This window comes from Homo sapiens, chromosome 8 (genome assembly GCF_000001405.40).
Source record: "Homo sapiens chromosome 8, GRCh38.p14 Primary Assembly".
In the NCBI taxonomy this organism is placed as follows: Eukaryota; Metazoa; Chordata; class Mammalia; order Primates; family Hominidae; genus Homo; species Homo sapiens.
The window spans coordinates 97,809,639-97,825,296 of record NC_000008.11 but is presented as its reverse complement, the minus strand read 5'-3'; the positions used below and the strand labels follow the sequence as shown (position 1 = coordinate 97,825,296).

Genomic DNA, 15,658 nt, shown 5'->3' with positions numbered 1-15,658 from the left:
CTAAGATGAATCTTTTGATAACTAAGCAGCTCATGAGTATGTTTCAGTAACAATAAAAATGTAGCAAACACTAGAAACACTTAAAGATCAGCATACAGTAAAGGTGTGGGCGAGATCTCTACCATAAGTGACATCATACCTACCGTAGTGTCATTGCTGGTAACATAAACCAGGACATCAGAGGAGTTCCTACCATTGATGTATCGGTAGCAGTTCCAAACACAGCTAATCAAGTAACCCTGAAAATGAGGAGTGATTATCAGATTTTTAATTTTCAAACTGCAGGTAATTTAGAATACCACACAGATAAAGCCATATTATAAAACTTTTATTGACATAAGCAATAAATGCACATATTATAACAGCTCTACTAAACCAAAAGTCCCTGAAAGTACAAATGTTGGGTATAGTAACTTCTTGGCACAATGTGCTACTGGAGCCGTATTCTATTACACCAATGGGGGTATGGGGGTGGTACTGGGGGAAGTTGGGAGAGGGGAGGGATGAGAGTTGAATGAGAAATTTCTAAGAATAAGTGTCTGGAAAGAACAAGCACACAATTAACATTATCGCTCCTGAATTCACAGAACAATCGAATGTATTAACTCATTTATTGCCACAGTTTAACTGCTTCTTTGGAAATTTTTCTTCTATATGATTATCTGTGATTTTATTACACAAGTCGATTTTTTTAAAAATTTCATAGCATATAAATTTATCTCACAGTCAATAAAATTCACTAAAACATTTCCCCTTTATTAACGAAATATCCGACGACGATACTTAAAATTAATGTCCAACATAAATACTGCTTAGAAATGAAACATGAGTTCACGGGAGATGTTTAAGCTATGAACTCTGTACTTTCATTCCATCATGTGTAATTGGATTAGAACTAAAGGATTTCAAAATCCCTTAACATTAAAATTCTTTGATTAAAAGAAGTTTAAACACATAGAGAAACTAGATTGCTAAAATCCAGGAAATACGTTGCTTATGAGAATGTAAAATGGTTGCAGCCACTCTGGAAAAGTCCGGCAGTTCGAAAGGTTAAACAGAGTTACAACAGGACCCAGCAATTCCACTCCTAGGTATTCTACATATAGTATATATATAATATATACCGAATAAAATGAAAATATACATCCACACAAAAACTTGAATGTTCACAGCAGCATTATTCATAATAGCCAAAAAGTAGAAGCAACCCAAATGTCCCTCAACTGATGAATGGATAGACAAAATGTGGCACCATCCATACAATGTGGTATTAACAACAATAAAAATAATGGGGCGGGGCCAGGCAAGGTGGCTCACGTCTGTAATTCTAACACTTTGGGAGGCCGAGGCTGGTGGATTACCTGAGTTCAGGAGTTTAGAGAACAGCCTGGGCAACACAGTGAAACTCCATCTCTACTAAAATACAAAAACATTAGCTGGGTGTGGCAGCGTGCGCCTGTAGTCCCAGCTACTCAGGAGGCTGAGGCGGGAGAATTGCTTGAACCCGGGAGGTGGCAGTTGCAGTGAGCCAAGATCGTGCCACTGCATTCCACCCTGGGTGACAGAGCGAGACTCCATCTCCGAAAAAAAAAAAAAAACTAAATAAATAATAATAATAATGGGACTGGGCACGATGGCTCACACCTGTAATCCCAGCACTTTGGGAGGCCGAGGTGGGTGGATCACTTGAACCCAAGAGTTTGAGACCAGCCTGGCCAACACAGTGAAACCCCGTCTCCACTAAAAATACAAAAATTAGCCGGGCATTGGGATGCATGCCTGTAATCCCAGCTATGTGGGAGGCTGAGGCAGGAGAATCAAGTGAACCTGGGAGGTGGAGGTTGCAGTGAGCCGAGATTGCGCCACTGCACTCCAGCCTGGGTGACAGAGTGAGACTCCGTCTCAAAAAAACAACAACAACAACAACAACAAAAAAAAAACAAAAAAAAAAACCATATTGTATGATGATTGTATTCGCATGGAATGCCCAGAATAGGCATTCTCAAGGGCCTTTGCAAGGCCACATGCATTCACCTACTACACACTCCAAAAGGGGAAAAACCTCGACCTGCTGTCTTGAAAAGCCCAGGTACTTCTTTCATTGACCTTATTTCTTATTTCACACTTCTGCAATATTGAATTAGAACTATTTAGTGGGCCGGGCATTGTGGCTCACACCTGTAATCCCAGTACTTTAGGAGGCCGAGGTGGGCGGATCACAAAGTCAGGAGATAGAGACCACCCTGGCTAACGCGATGAAACCCTGTCTCTAGTAAAAATACAAAAAACTAGCCGGGCATGGTGGCAGGCGCCTGTAGTCCCAACTACTCGGGAGGCTGAGGCAGGACAATTGCTTGAACCCGGGAAGCAGAGGTTGCAGTGAGCCGGGATCACACCACTGCACTCCAGCCTGGGTGACAGAGTGACACTCTTGTCTCAAAAAAAATAAATAAAAAAAATAACTAAAAGAGTATGACTAAATGCTTAAGGGGATGGACACCCGATTTTCCATGATGTGATTATTCTGCACTGTATCAAAATATCTCATATACCCCATAAATATATACACTTGGTATGTACCCACAAAATTTTTTTAAAAAATTAAGTGCATTCAAAAATATCTTTTAATGTCTGTATAAATACATCAATGAGTAGTATATTTTATTCTGCTATGGTTTTGCTAATTTAGACCATATGACTAGTAATGATGAACATGGTTGTGCCTTAATAAATAAATAAATAAATAAATAAATAAATAAATAAATAAAATAGAAGTCATACTGACAGAAGCTAACCCTAGGTCCTCTGACTCAAAATGTGATGTGGGCATTTCAAATAAGTACAAGTGAAAATGTTTAAAAGATTTAAAAAGTCTTTTTAAAGATAATTGTGAGGTCCTAGCTTCGAGTTTCTGGTAATGGCAGAGTTAGCTTGGTCAGACTAACCTTCCTGCAGGTAAGATTTATAAAATCTAGAAAAATTACTCACACACACAAATTTTAAGTCATGGGAGACTGACCAAAAACAAGCAGAAGTCAAAAGGGGAGTCTACCCTTCAAAGACGAACTACAATGAGTGAGATGTGAGTCTGTGGCCTTTCACCAGGGGGCACTGCCAGCCCTGCCTGCAGCCTGGATGGTAGGCAGCCCTAGCCTCACAGGCTTGGAGGTCAGAGGACAACATGTGGGGCCAAATACCAGCCAAGAAACTGGAGCGGAGGAGCTGGAGCTGCAAGGCAGTAAGGCCCAACATCCGTGTGTAAAATTCACTCCCATCCTTAACTGCTGAATGACACATGAAATCATGGTGTTTTATGATGGAAATTTAGACTCAATTCATTTTCTTTCATTATTTATTTATTTATTTTTGTTTTTATTTTTTTATTTATGTTGGCAGAAAAGCTGAGGCAGGGCTTCTGACATAAGGTAAAAGTGTCTTGGAACATGTCCTGGGTCCAGGGTCTATAACCCCTTGTGGCCTATGGAACACCAAGCTCTGTGCCAAAGGGTGGAAGGCTGCCCTGCCGCACTACAATCTAAGCCCAGAGCATAAAACCCCTTGTAGCCTGTGGAATATATCCAGACTCGCTGGCCCCTTGCTCCTTGCTCTCCCAAGATCACAAATTGATTGCATCTCGAATTAGAAGAACCTGTTCTCCCTTATCTCAAGTAGCAGAGCATATGCAAAACCGTCACAGCTACGCTTGATGCACCACTACCTTTCTATCCTCACGTCCTCACCTGTCCACCCCTACATCCACACGTCCTCACTACCTGCTTCTTTGTTTGATTACCAATAAATAGTGTGGACTCCCAGAGCTCAGGGCCTTCGCAGCCTCCAAACTGGCACTGGACCCCTGGACCCACTCTATGTACTCTTGTCTTGTCTCATTCCTCTGACTCCGCCGGACTTCACAACCCCCACGACCTGGTGTTGGGTCTGATCACCCCAACATTTCACTATTTTTTTTTGAGATGGAGTCGCCCAGGCTGGAGTGCAGTAGCTCGATCTCATCTCACTGCAAGCTCTGCCTCCTGGGTTCATGCCATTCTCCTGCCTCAGCCTCCCAAGTAGCTGGGACTACAGGCGCCCGCCACCATGCCCAACTAATTTTTTGTATTTTTATAGAGACAGGGTTTCACCATGTTAGCCAGGATGGTCTCGATCTCCTGATCTCGTGATCCACCCGTCTTGGCCTCCCAAAGTGCTGGGATTACAGGCATGAGCCACCACACCCGGCCTTATTTATTTTTTAAGAGACGGTGTCCCCAGCCAGGTGTGGTGACTTATGCCTGTAATTCCAGCACTTTGGGAGGCCGAGGCAGGCAAATCACCTGAGGTCAGGAGTTTGACACCAGCATGGCCAACATGGTGAAACCCGTCTCTACTAAAATACAAAAATTAGCTGGGTGTGGTAACAGGCGCCTGTAGTCCCAGCTACTCGTGAGACTGAGGCAGGAGAATTGCTTGAACCTAGGAGGCAGAGGTTGCAGTGAGCCGAGATCGCACCTCTGCACTCCAGCCTAGGTGACAGAGTGAGACTCTGTCTCAACAACAACAACAACAAGACGGGGTCTCACTCTGTCACCCAGGCTGAAGTACAGTGCTGCTATCATAGCACACTACAGCCTCACACTCCCAGCTCAAACAATCTTCTCACTTCAGCCTCCCAAAGTGTTGGGATCACAGGTGTGAGCCATTTCACCTGGCCAACTGGTTTCCAATGAACCACTTTCTTTCTACTCCTTTTCATCACAGTACCTATATGAATTTTCTGCCTCAATGCAGCTTTCCCAAGTTTACTGAGGCATGATTTTTGAAGAATGACATAATTTTATGCCAAAATTAAGACAATGAAAGGCATTGAGATTCAAAAATTCAAAGTATGCTGGGTGCAGTGGTTCACACCTGTAATCCCAAAACTTTGGGAAACCAAGGCAGGAGGCAGCCTAGACTACAGGGAGAGACCCTACCTCAAAAAAAAAAAAAAAAGAAAGAAAGAAAAATAAATAAAAAAAGAAAAAAGTTGAAAGCATAAAGAGCCATGAGAGTTTTCTACCCATTAGTAGCTCATAAGCACAAGTTATAATGATGGTTTTATAAACAGATTGACCAAGATGAAAAAGAATTTGCAGCAATTGATTGATAAGGGTGAGGCACTGCTGCAGGAAGTAGAAGTCATTTAACTTTGGGGGACATCAATTTGACAACCTATCAAAGGCTTTCCAACCATGAACACCCTGATTTTAAGAAATTTATCTTGAAGCCGGGCACAGTGGCTCATGCCTGTAATCCCAGCTTTGGGAGGCCGAGGTGGGCGGATCATGAGGTCAGGAGATCGAGACCATCCTGGCTAACACAGTGAAACCCCATCTCTACTAAAAATACAAAAAAATTTGCTGGGCATGGTGGCGGGTATCTGTGGTCCCACCTACTGGGGAGGCTGAGGCAAGATAATGGCGTGAAGCCGGGAGGCGAAGCTCGCAGTAAGCCGAGGTTGCGCCACTGCACTCCAACCTGGGCGACAGAGCGAGACTCCATCTCAAAAAAAAAAAAAAAAAAAAAAAAAGGAAATTTATCTTGAGATAAATGCATAAATATAAGGATGTACTTAAATATATTCACTACAGCCCTATTAAGTGAAAAAGTAAAAAATGTCTCAATGCTCATCAAGTAATTTATTAAATAATGATATTCATATAATGGATTGAGATAGAACAATATTCAGAAAATATTACACTTTTAGCAAAAAATTACAAAAGAATATCCATTACACAGACCTTGTAACAGACGTTGCAATATCATATACTATGTAATGTATAACATTATGTTAACTTATCTCTGTCCAAATATATTTTGGACTCCTTGATCAAACTGTGGAATTTTGATTAGTGTTTACCTCCAACATAGACAGCATAAAGAATTGTAATCTTAGGAAATCAAAAAGCAATTTGGATGTCCAAAGAAAGACAATAAACTGACCAAAGTTTGTTTACTTATTTGGTATTCAGGAATACACTTAATATTTTTAGACTATAAGTAAAATCTTCATGCTTACCTTAAAAGTCAAGATAATGCTAATAAACAGAAGAATAATAAGGACCAAACAGGTAGGATTCACTGACATGACATCATCTCTGTAGGGAAAATTAGGAGGCTGCAAAAGAAAAGGGCCTCATTAGCAAATCTCATTAATCATTCCAGACAGTATTCCTTGGGCACCAATTCAGACATGCTTATCAGAAAGCAACTGATTAAAGCAGACAGCTATTATTTAGAACCAATACAAAATTTCTAGCCTGACTCTGCCCTCTTACCATATAAAAGACGTCAGTGATCGGTATCCAGGGACATTTTGTATATCCAGGGATCTCTGAAATTTGTATTCTCTGCAAGTTCTGAACCATTCCTTTTTTTTTTTTTTTTCTTTTTTGAGATGGAGTTTCTCTCTGTCGCCCAGCTCAGCTACTTGGGAGGCTGGGGTGAGCAAATCACTTGAGCCCTGGTGGTGGAGGTTGCAGTGAGCGAGATCATGCCACTGCACTCCAGCCGCCCGGGCGACAGAGCCAGACCATGTCTCAAAAGTTCTGAACCATTCTAAAGGGCATATGCAGGGCAAGGGACAGAAACCTACTAAAATGAGGTCTTCTTTGCAAAGAGCATTTTTGTTGATGGTACTTCTCCCAAGACAGCATATTCTCTTATACTAGCAAGTACTTCCAGGGTGGGGGGAAATAATCAAGCACTACCATCCACAATGCTTAACAACCAGGTCAAAGGGAACCTTTTCAGGAGGATCAAAGTCTGCTACTATGGTTAGAGGGAGTTGCCGGACTTTCCCCACAGAACACTCACACAGCATTGATCAACGCCTACATCACTGGCCTAGGCAAGTGAATGGGAAGGCAGCCTACTGTGCTATCTCATCTTTTATCTCCCTTCACCATTCAACACTATGTGTTTGGATTCCTCACGAGCAATATTCCAAAACAAAGTTGTTTCCAATGTTGAGGAAGAACATGGAGAAGGCCCATGACTCATGGGCTTGGCTCCTGCTCACCAGGGTGAACACCACCTAATGGTTTTCAGTCTCCTTTCACTTGGGACAAAATATCTAAGAAATAAAATCGTCATTCTTTGTGATCAGATCATGCAACTTTACTCTTTTATTAATAAAATAACTTGGCCAAGCACAGTGGCTCATGCCTGTAATTTCAGCACTTTGGGAGGCTGAGGCAGGCAGATTGCTTGAGTGCAGGTGTTTGAGACCAGCCTGGACAACATAGTCAAACCCCATCTCTACTAAAAATACAAATTTAGCCGGGCATGGTGGTGCATGTCTGTAGTCCAAACTACTTGGGAGGCTAAGGTGGAAGGATCACTTGAGCCCAGAAGATTGAGGTTGCAGGCTGGGCATGGTGGCTCACGCCTGTAATCTCAGCACTTTGGGAGGCCAAGGTGGGCGGATCACCTGAGGTCAGGAGTTCGAGACCAGCCTGGTCAACATGGCAAAACCCCACCTCTACTAAAAAAAAAATACAAAAATTAGCCAGGCATGGTAGTGGGCGCCTGTATTCCTAGCACTCTGGGAGGCCGATGAGGGTGGATCCTCTGAGGCTAAATGTTTGAGACCAGCCTGGAAAAGATGGTGAAACCCCATCTCTACTAAAAATACAAAAAATTAGCCAGGCTTGGTAGCGGGTGCCTGTAATCCCAGCTACTCAGGAGACTGAGGCAGGAGAATGGCTTGAACCCAGGGAGGCGGAGGTTGCAGTGAGCCGAGATCACAACACTGCACTCCAGCCTAGGTGATAGAGTGAGACTCTGTCTCAAAAAAAAAAAAAAAAAAAAGTAAAGTTGGCCTGGTACAGTGAGTCACATCTATAATGCCAGCACTTTGGGAGGCCAAGGCTGGAGGATCACTTGAGTCTAGGAGTTTGAGACAAGCCTGGGCAACATGGTGAAACCCCATCTCTACATAAGATACAAAAAGAAAAATTAGGTGGGCATGGTGGTGCATGCCTATAGTGCCAGCTACTCAAGAGGTTGAGATGGGAGGATCACGGGAGCCTGGGAGGTCAACGCTGCAGCAAGCCATAATCACACCACTGCACTCCAGCCTGGGTGACAGAGACCCTGTCCCAAAAATAAATAAAGTTATTCCAACCTCATAGCCATTATAAGCTTCTTAATACCCTGCCACCAATATTCACTCATATGGTCACAAAGGACATTTAACCGTAAACTAGTCCCAAAATGATGCTTGAGAAAGGGATTCTATGGTCAAACAAATTTGGGAGCTAGTATACAGCAGTGTTCCACTTTCTTTCCACTTTCTTTTGATTTTTCTTTTTTTTTAGATGAGATCTCACTCTATTGCCCAGGCTGGAGTGCAGTGGCGTGATCTTGGCTCACTGCAGCCTCCACCTCCCAGGTTCAAGCAATTCTCCTGCCTCAGCCTCCCGAGTGGCTAGGGTCACAGGCGTGTGCCACCTCTCCCAGCTAATTATTTTGTTTGTTTTTGAGCAGAGTCCCACTTTCAACACACTAGCAAAGGCAAAAAGCTATCCTTTGTTGATAACTGAGAAAACTACATTTTACCAAATACGACTATTAGTAACTGGACTATAATTTAGGTAGGCACATCAACCACCACCATCACTGCCACCAATCATAACCCCGGCCCTCAAAACTTTATCAGGCCAGGCACAGTGGCTCACACCCATAATCCCAGCACTTTGGGAGGCCAAGATGGGTGGATCACCTGAGGTCAGGAGTTCAAGACCAGCCTGACCAACACAGTGAAACCCCATCTCTACTAAAAATACAAAATTAGCCAGGTATGTTGGTACATGCCTATAATCCCAGCTAGCTGGGAGGCTGAGACCCTGGAGGCAGAGGTTGCAGTGAGCCGAGATCGCATCACTGCACTCCAGCCTGGGTGACGAGAGCAAGACTCCACCTCAAAAAAAAGAAAAAAGAAATTTCCTATGAGTAACTCAGCTGCAAGCTAAAAATCCTGAAATTAATGTCTGTGTATCTCTACACATCCCTTACTTAACCAGCTTCCCTAATGAAAAGAATTAATGAAAAGGAGCAGTAAGAGGTCCACGTACCAGTTGCCGTATGTATTCCTGAATGGAGTTTGGATAAATAAGCACAGTGATTGCAACCAACATGTTCAGGGCAAAGTCAAAGATCTGGTAACAGAAGAATGGGATGATCCAGGCTGCGCGTTGCTAAACAGAACAGAAAATAGAAAGTTAATGTGTTCAATATTATAAAACAATATTTTTCTTAAATTCAAAGTATTTTATTAATCTGAAAGGAAATGGAAAAATTGGAATTCATTAACCCAGGTCATGGTGGAAACCAGTATGCCAAATATAAGCAGTCAACAAATAAGCTTCAGTGAACATTTCCAGGACTGGCTGTGTGTGGTGTCTCACACCTGTAATCCCAGCATTTTGGGAGGCTGAGGTGGGTGGATCACTTAAGGTCAGGAGTTCGAGACTAGCCTGCCCAACATGGTGAAATCACGTCTCTACTAAAAAATACAAAAATCAGCAAGGTGTGGTGGCACACACCTGTAGTCCCAGCTACTCTGGAGGCTGAGGTGGGAGAATCACTTGAACTTGGGAGGCGGAGATTGCAGTGAGCTAAGATCACACCACTCTACTCCAGCCTGTGTGACAGAGTGAGACCCCGTCTTCCCAAAAAAAAAAAAATTTCCAGTATAATATTGGTTTTCCTAGTACCACATAATACAAACGAGAGATTTAAACAGAGATTCTTAACAGAAAACTGGAAAGTCACTTCTCACTATAGACAGCAGCACAGATTACACATGTAAGAGACCAAGGAAAAGGCCAGCATCTTACTGCAAGCGGCTTACCTTGTACGCTCCGTAAGTAGCCATAGCACATATCAGGATCATGAGAAGAGAAATCGCAATGGCAATGCACATGTCTGCCGAAAGATTAAAAAGAATTTCTTTAAAAAAGACAATCAGTAGTGGATCCACTGAATACTTTCAGTCTCTTCTCAAAGGCATTTTGTAAATAAACTAGCATAAAGTTAGTAAATACTTTATACTAAGAGATTATTTCAAAATAGAAAAAGGGATATTGGTTTACAGATTTTTTTAATGTTTGTTCTTCTGGTCCACTGGATTATATAAATAATGAATTAGGTATTACTTTATAGATATATAGGTGTCTAACTTCTATTTTGTAAACTCATGTGTGCCTCAAAGCTCTAATGAAAGCCTTCATAGCTTCCGATCTTATTTAAAATAAAAACTCCGGCCAGGTGCGGTGGCTCACACCTATAATCCCAACACTTTGGGAGGCCGAGGAGGGCGATCACGAGGTCAGGAGATTGAGACCATCCTGGTTAACACAGTGAAACCCCATGTGTACTAAAAATACAAAAAATTAGCCGGGCGTGGTGGTGGGCACCTGCTGACCCAGCTACTTGGGAGGCTGAGGCAGAAGAATGGCATGAACCTGGGAGACAGAGCTTGCAGTGAGCCGAGATCGCGCCACTGCACTCCGGTCTGGGCGATAGAGCGAGACTCCATCTCAAAAAAATAAATAAATAAAAATAAAACCTTCATTTCTTATCAAGGCCTTGATGTTCCTCTTTATTCCAGAGCAGTCTACCTCTCTAATCTCGCCTCACCTTGTCCCACTCTCTTGCTTGCTCTAAGACAGCCATATCATCTGGTTCATTCTATTTTATTTATTTTTTCTTTTTTCTTTTTATTTTTTTGAGACAGAGTCTCACTCTGTCGCCCAGGCTGGAATGCAGTGGGACAACATTGGCTCAATGCAAATTCCGCATCCCAGGCTCAAGCAAGTCTCCCAGGCTCAAGCAAGTCTCCCACCTCACCCCCTAGGTACCTGAGACTACAGGTGTGCTCCACCATGCCAATTTTTATATTTTTAGTAGAGACGGGGGTTTCACCATGTTGGCCAGGCTGGTCTCGAACTCCTGACTTCAAATGATCTGCCAGCCTCGGCCTCCCAAAGTTCTGGGATTACAGGCGTGAGCCACCATGCCTGGCCTTCAACTTCTTTTTTCCTTTAGTCAATCTCTGGTAAATAAGGAGTCTTGTTTGGTCTCCCAATCTGGAGTTGCAGTGGTGTGATCATGGCTCATTGCAGCTTCAATTGCCTGGGCATTGTCACTATGGGATTATAGGCATAAGTCACCGCACCCGGACAAAAATATCTTAAACCAACTTGGCAGGTACACAACTGCTTGTAGCACCATTATTTGCTACGGGTAATAAATATTTTATAAATATTCTTTTATACCTACTCAATATTTAATAAGAAATAATTTTATAAAAATGAACCCCAAACTATTGGTTTTTTTAAACTGCTTTTCCTAGATCTGGCAGAACAAATTATTGTCAATGAGAAAAATAATATTGGTTTTCATTGTACATGCAACTTCTCTAAAAGCTTTGCATTTTTTCGACAGAGATCTAGAGGGGAAAACATAATCTGCATACTAAATCTCTACTAAATTGCAAATCACATCCTGATTTCAAAAACATTAAAATGTAAACAACAACAATAAAATGCATTGGAGAAGCAGCCGGTGAGCACGTTAAGAGCATGAAAGGAGGAATACTGGACACCAGAGCTGATCTAACTCCTTCTTAGCCAGTGGCAAACAGGACCTCAACAGATCCAGGGGATTCTGTAGGCTTAATGCATCTGGAGTGTCAACTTGACTGGACTGAAGGATGCAAAGTATTGTTCCTGGGTGTGCCTGTGAGGGCGTTGCCAAAGGAGATTAACATTTCAGTCAGTGGACTGGGAGACGAAGACCCACCCTCAATCTGTATGGGTACCATCTAACCAGCTGCCAGCCTGGCTAGAATAAAGCAGGTAGGAGAAGATGAAGAGCAGACTTGCTGAGTCTTCCGGCTTCCATCTTTCTCCCGTGCTGGATGCTTCTTGCCCTCGAACATCAGACACCAGATTCTTCCGCTTTTGGACTCCTGGACTTACACCAGTGGTTTTCCAGGGGCTCTCCGGCCTTTGGCCACAAACTGAAGGCTGCACTGTCAGCTTCCCTACTTTTGAGGTTTTGGGACTTGGACTGATCCATCACTGGCTTCCTTGCTCCTCAACTTGCAGATGGCCTATCATGGGACTTTACCTTGTGGTCATATAAGTCAATCCTCCTTAATAAACTTCCTTAAATATATCCCATTAGTTCTGTCCCTCTAGGGAACCCTGACTAATATAACATCCTACGATTTCAGTAAGACACTAGCAGAGCTTTTTATAGTATTCTTGTAGGCAAAGTAGGGAAATGTACACAGTTTGGTTAGGTGGAACATCAAGGTAAGTAGGGGAGTGGCTCTACCAGCTGGCTTCTGGTGCTGTTCCAAATCCATTCTTCAACGCCCTGTTCTCTGCCACAGGCAGTGATTTGTTTGGGCTATCAACATACAGCTCTTTTGCCCTCCGCCCTCTGGTGAGGGAATGAGATCACAAAGAGGGAAGTAGAGTGAGGGTGCCTCCCACTCTGAGGTTGTCTTGGGTTGGTGGTAGTCCTAGTCCAAATGTCACTGCTCCTCACATAGGTTAAATCTAGGTGACTCATTCCCAACTCCAATAACCATGGCTTTCCATCCATTCTTCAATTCTAGAGAAGAATAGTAAAATGGCTAGCCTAGATGATCCAAGTGACTTCACCAACTCTAGTGGTCTTCTCATACATACAAAGGCGTACTTTTGCAAAAAGTCTCCTTGAAAATAAACATTTAGGACGGGCGCAGTCGTTCATGCCTGTAATCCCAGCACTCTGGGAGGCCGACGCAGGTGGATCACTTGAGGTCAGGAGTTCAAGAACAGACTGTCCAACATGGTGAAACCCTGTCTCTACTAAAAACACAAAAGGTGGTGCATGCCTGTAATCCCAGCTACTCGGGAGGCCAAGGCAGGAGAATCACTTGAACCTGGGAGGTGGAGGTTGCAGTGAGCCAAGATAGCAGCACTGTACTCCAGCCTGGGTGACAGAGTCAGACTCCGACTCAAAAAAAAAACAAAAAACAACAAAAAAAAAACAAATAATTAATTTACTTATCCTTTAAAAAAAAGTCAAGATGTAGAGTATGCTACTTTTTTTGAAAGGATGGGAGGGCAGATTGATGAAAATAAAGAGCCAGGCCGGGCGCGGTGGCTCACTCCTGCAATCCCAGGACTTTTGGAGGCCAAGGTGGATGGATCGCTTGAGCCCAGGAGTTCAAGACCAACTTGGGAAACATGGCAAAACCCCGTCTCTACTAAAAATACAAAAATTAGCCAGGCATGGTGGTACGCACCTATGGTCCCAGCTACTCAGGAGACTGAGGTGGGAGAACTGCTTGAGCCCATGAGGCAGAGGTTGCAGTGAGCCAAGATTGTGCTACTGTACTCCAGCCTGGGCGACAGAGCAAGACCCTGTCTCAAAAAATAAAATACAAAAGTAAAGAAAATAAAGGGCCAGGATGGTTCCCCTGGCTCAGCTTCCCCTGCTGCTGTAGTTCTATTTCCTCAAGGCTGTCAGGATCTTTATGCACAAGCCGGCAAGCTGTGCAGACTGCCAAGTTAGTCTGCGGTATGTGAAGAGGGCAGGTAGGCAGCCAAGGGCCCTTTCCAAATGCCAGAGCAAGATGAGCCTTAGTTTGTGATGTTGAGAGCCATCAGGAAAGGCGGCCCTCCTCAGGTTCATCATTCTTTTTTGTTGCTGTTTCCTATTTCTCAGTTTTCATTATCAAAACTTCAAAACATGCACATACATATATAAGCATACACACAGTACAGTTAATTCTCATCACCCATTTTGCTTATATCATTTCATCTCTGATTGCTTCATTTTTGCCCATTCTGCCATTGGAAATCTGGATTGTTTCCAACTTTTGGCTATCATAAATAAAGCTACTATGACCATTTTTATACATGGCTGACGACAGATTTATGAAGCACCTGTTTCCCTAGGGTATATATCTAGGACTGAGTTGTGTAGCCTTCACTCCTGGAGTGTACGTATATCAAGGAGTGGAATGCAGGGCCATAGGGTAGATGTATATTTAGCTTTAGTTTTCCAAAGTGGTTGGCGTGATTTACATTCCCAGCCGTGATTTGAGAGTTCCAGCTGTTTGGCATCGATACCAATAGGTGGTACTGTTAACTGCGTTAATGTTGGTCATTTTGAAGGGGCACGGTAATTTACTACTGTAGCTGTAATTTGCAATTCCCTATAACTTGCAATGTGGAGAATATTCTCTTATGGATATCTTCTTTTGTGAGGTGTCTGTCTTTCTCTTATCAATTTCACCCAGAACCATTTATTGAAAAGACCATCCTTTCTCCAATAAATGTAGTGGTGTCTTTAGCCTAAATCAGGTGACTGTATATATAAGTAGCCATCATTTCTTGACAACTTATCTGGCCATTTCTTTCTTCAGGCTAAATTTGTCTGCCCAGTGAAGAAAGTAAGTTTGACCAGAAAGACAAATCTACCACAAAATTAATTAGAAATATGGATGAACTCCTGTTTCATATTATGCATAGTACAGACACTTGATGTTATAATTCTTTGCCAAACAAAATTTCACAAATAAAATTCCATGAAGTCTACTTCTACTCAGGGCTATGAGTGTGTAACACAATATGCCACACATACATGCTTTTCAAACATTACTCTTTGAGCTTCTAGGTCAGTGGACTGAACTACCTGTGCTTTACCTTTTTATTCTGATGTCATTTTAGACATATAGGAAAGTTACAAACACAGCAGAATTCACGTATACCCTTCACCCTGCTTCCCCTATTAACAATTTACCTAGCTGTAGCATAACTACCAAAACCAGGAAATTAACATTGGTACAACACTGTTAATTAAACTGTACAACTAATTTGAATTTTACCTGTTCCCCTTCAATGTCCTTTTTCTTTTCCAGAATCTAATCCAGGATCCCACAGTGCATTTAATTGTGTCTCCTCCAATCTATGCCAGTTCCACATTCTTTCCCAGTATAGTCAATTTTTATAACACTGAAAAAATTGAGGGCGGGTAGGGTGGCTCATGCCTGTAATCCTAGCACTTTGGGACGTCGAGAATGACGAATTGCTTGAGCTCAGGAGTTTGAGACCAGCCTGGGCAACATGACAAAACCCCATCTCTACAAAAAATTAGCCAGGCATGGTGGCTCATGCCTCTAGTTACAGCTACTTGGGAGGCTAAGGTGGGAGAATCGCTTGAGCCCAAGAGGTAGGGATTGCAGTAAGCCCAGATTGTGTGCGACACTGCACTCCAGCCTGGTGACAGAGTGGGACCCAGCCTCAAAAATAAATTTTTAAACTCATTTTCTTATATTTTCTTTCTTTATTCCAGTAGATTCTCCTATATGCCTCATTTCAATATAAATAGGAATTTAGCTTTCTTCTACCAGATCATGGAAAGGATCACCTGCAAAAGTGAGAAAGAGTTCTGCTCTGTCTGGCTGGATGAAATCTTCAGATAGCTGTCACCAATGTAAAAAGATATCAAGATAAAATTGCTATATTAATTTTCGTAATTTTTTAATTTGAGACAGGGTCTGGCTCTGTCACCCAGGCTGGAGTGCAGTGACACAATCTTGGCTCACTGC

At 42.7% G+C, this 15,658-nt stretch overlaps 1 protein-coding gene across 1 annotated transcript in view; it reads right to left on the bottom strand.

Annotated features, from left to right (window-relative positions):
- Positions 1 to 15,658, bottom strand: part of LAPTM4B (lysosomal protein transmembrane 4 beta) — a 77,226-nt gene that overhangs the window by 27,717 nt on the left and 33,851 nt on the right. The window contains exons 3-6 of the mRNA NM_018407.6: positions 9,896 to 9,969; positions 9,117 to 9,239; positions 6,059 to 6,157; positions 144 to 239 (exon numbers count right to left, since the gene is read on the bottom strand). Of these exons, the coding sequence (NP_060877.4) occupies positions 144 to 239; positions 6,059 to 6,157; positions 9,117 to 9,239; positions 9,896 to 9,969 (392 nt within the window). The remainder of the gene's footprint in view (positions 1 to 143; positions 240 to 6,058; positions 6,158 to 9,116; positions 9,240 to 9,895; positions 9,970 to 15,658) is intronic.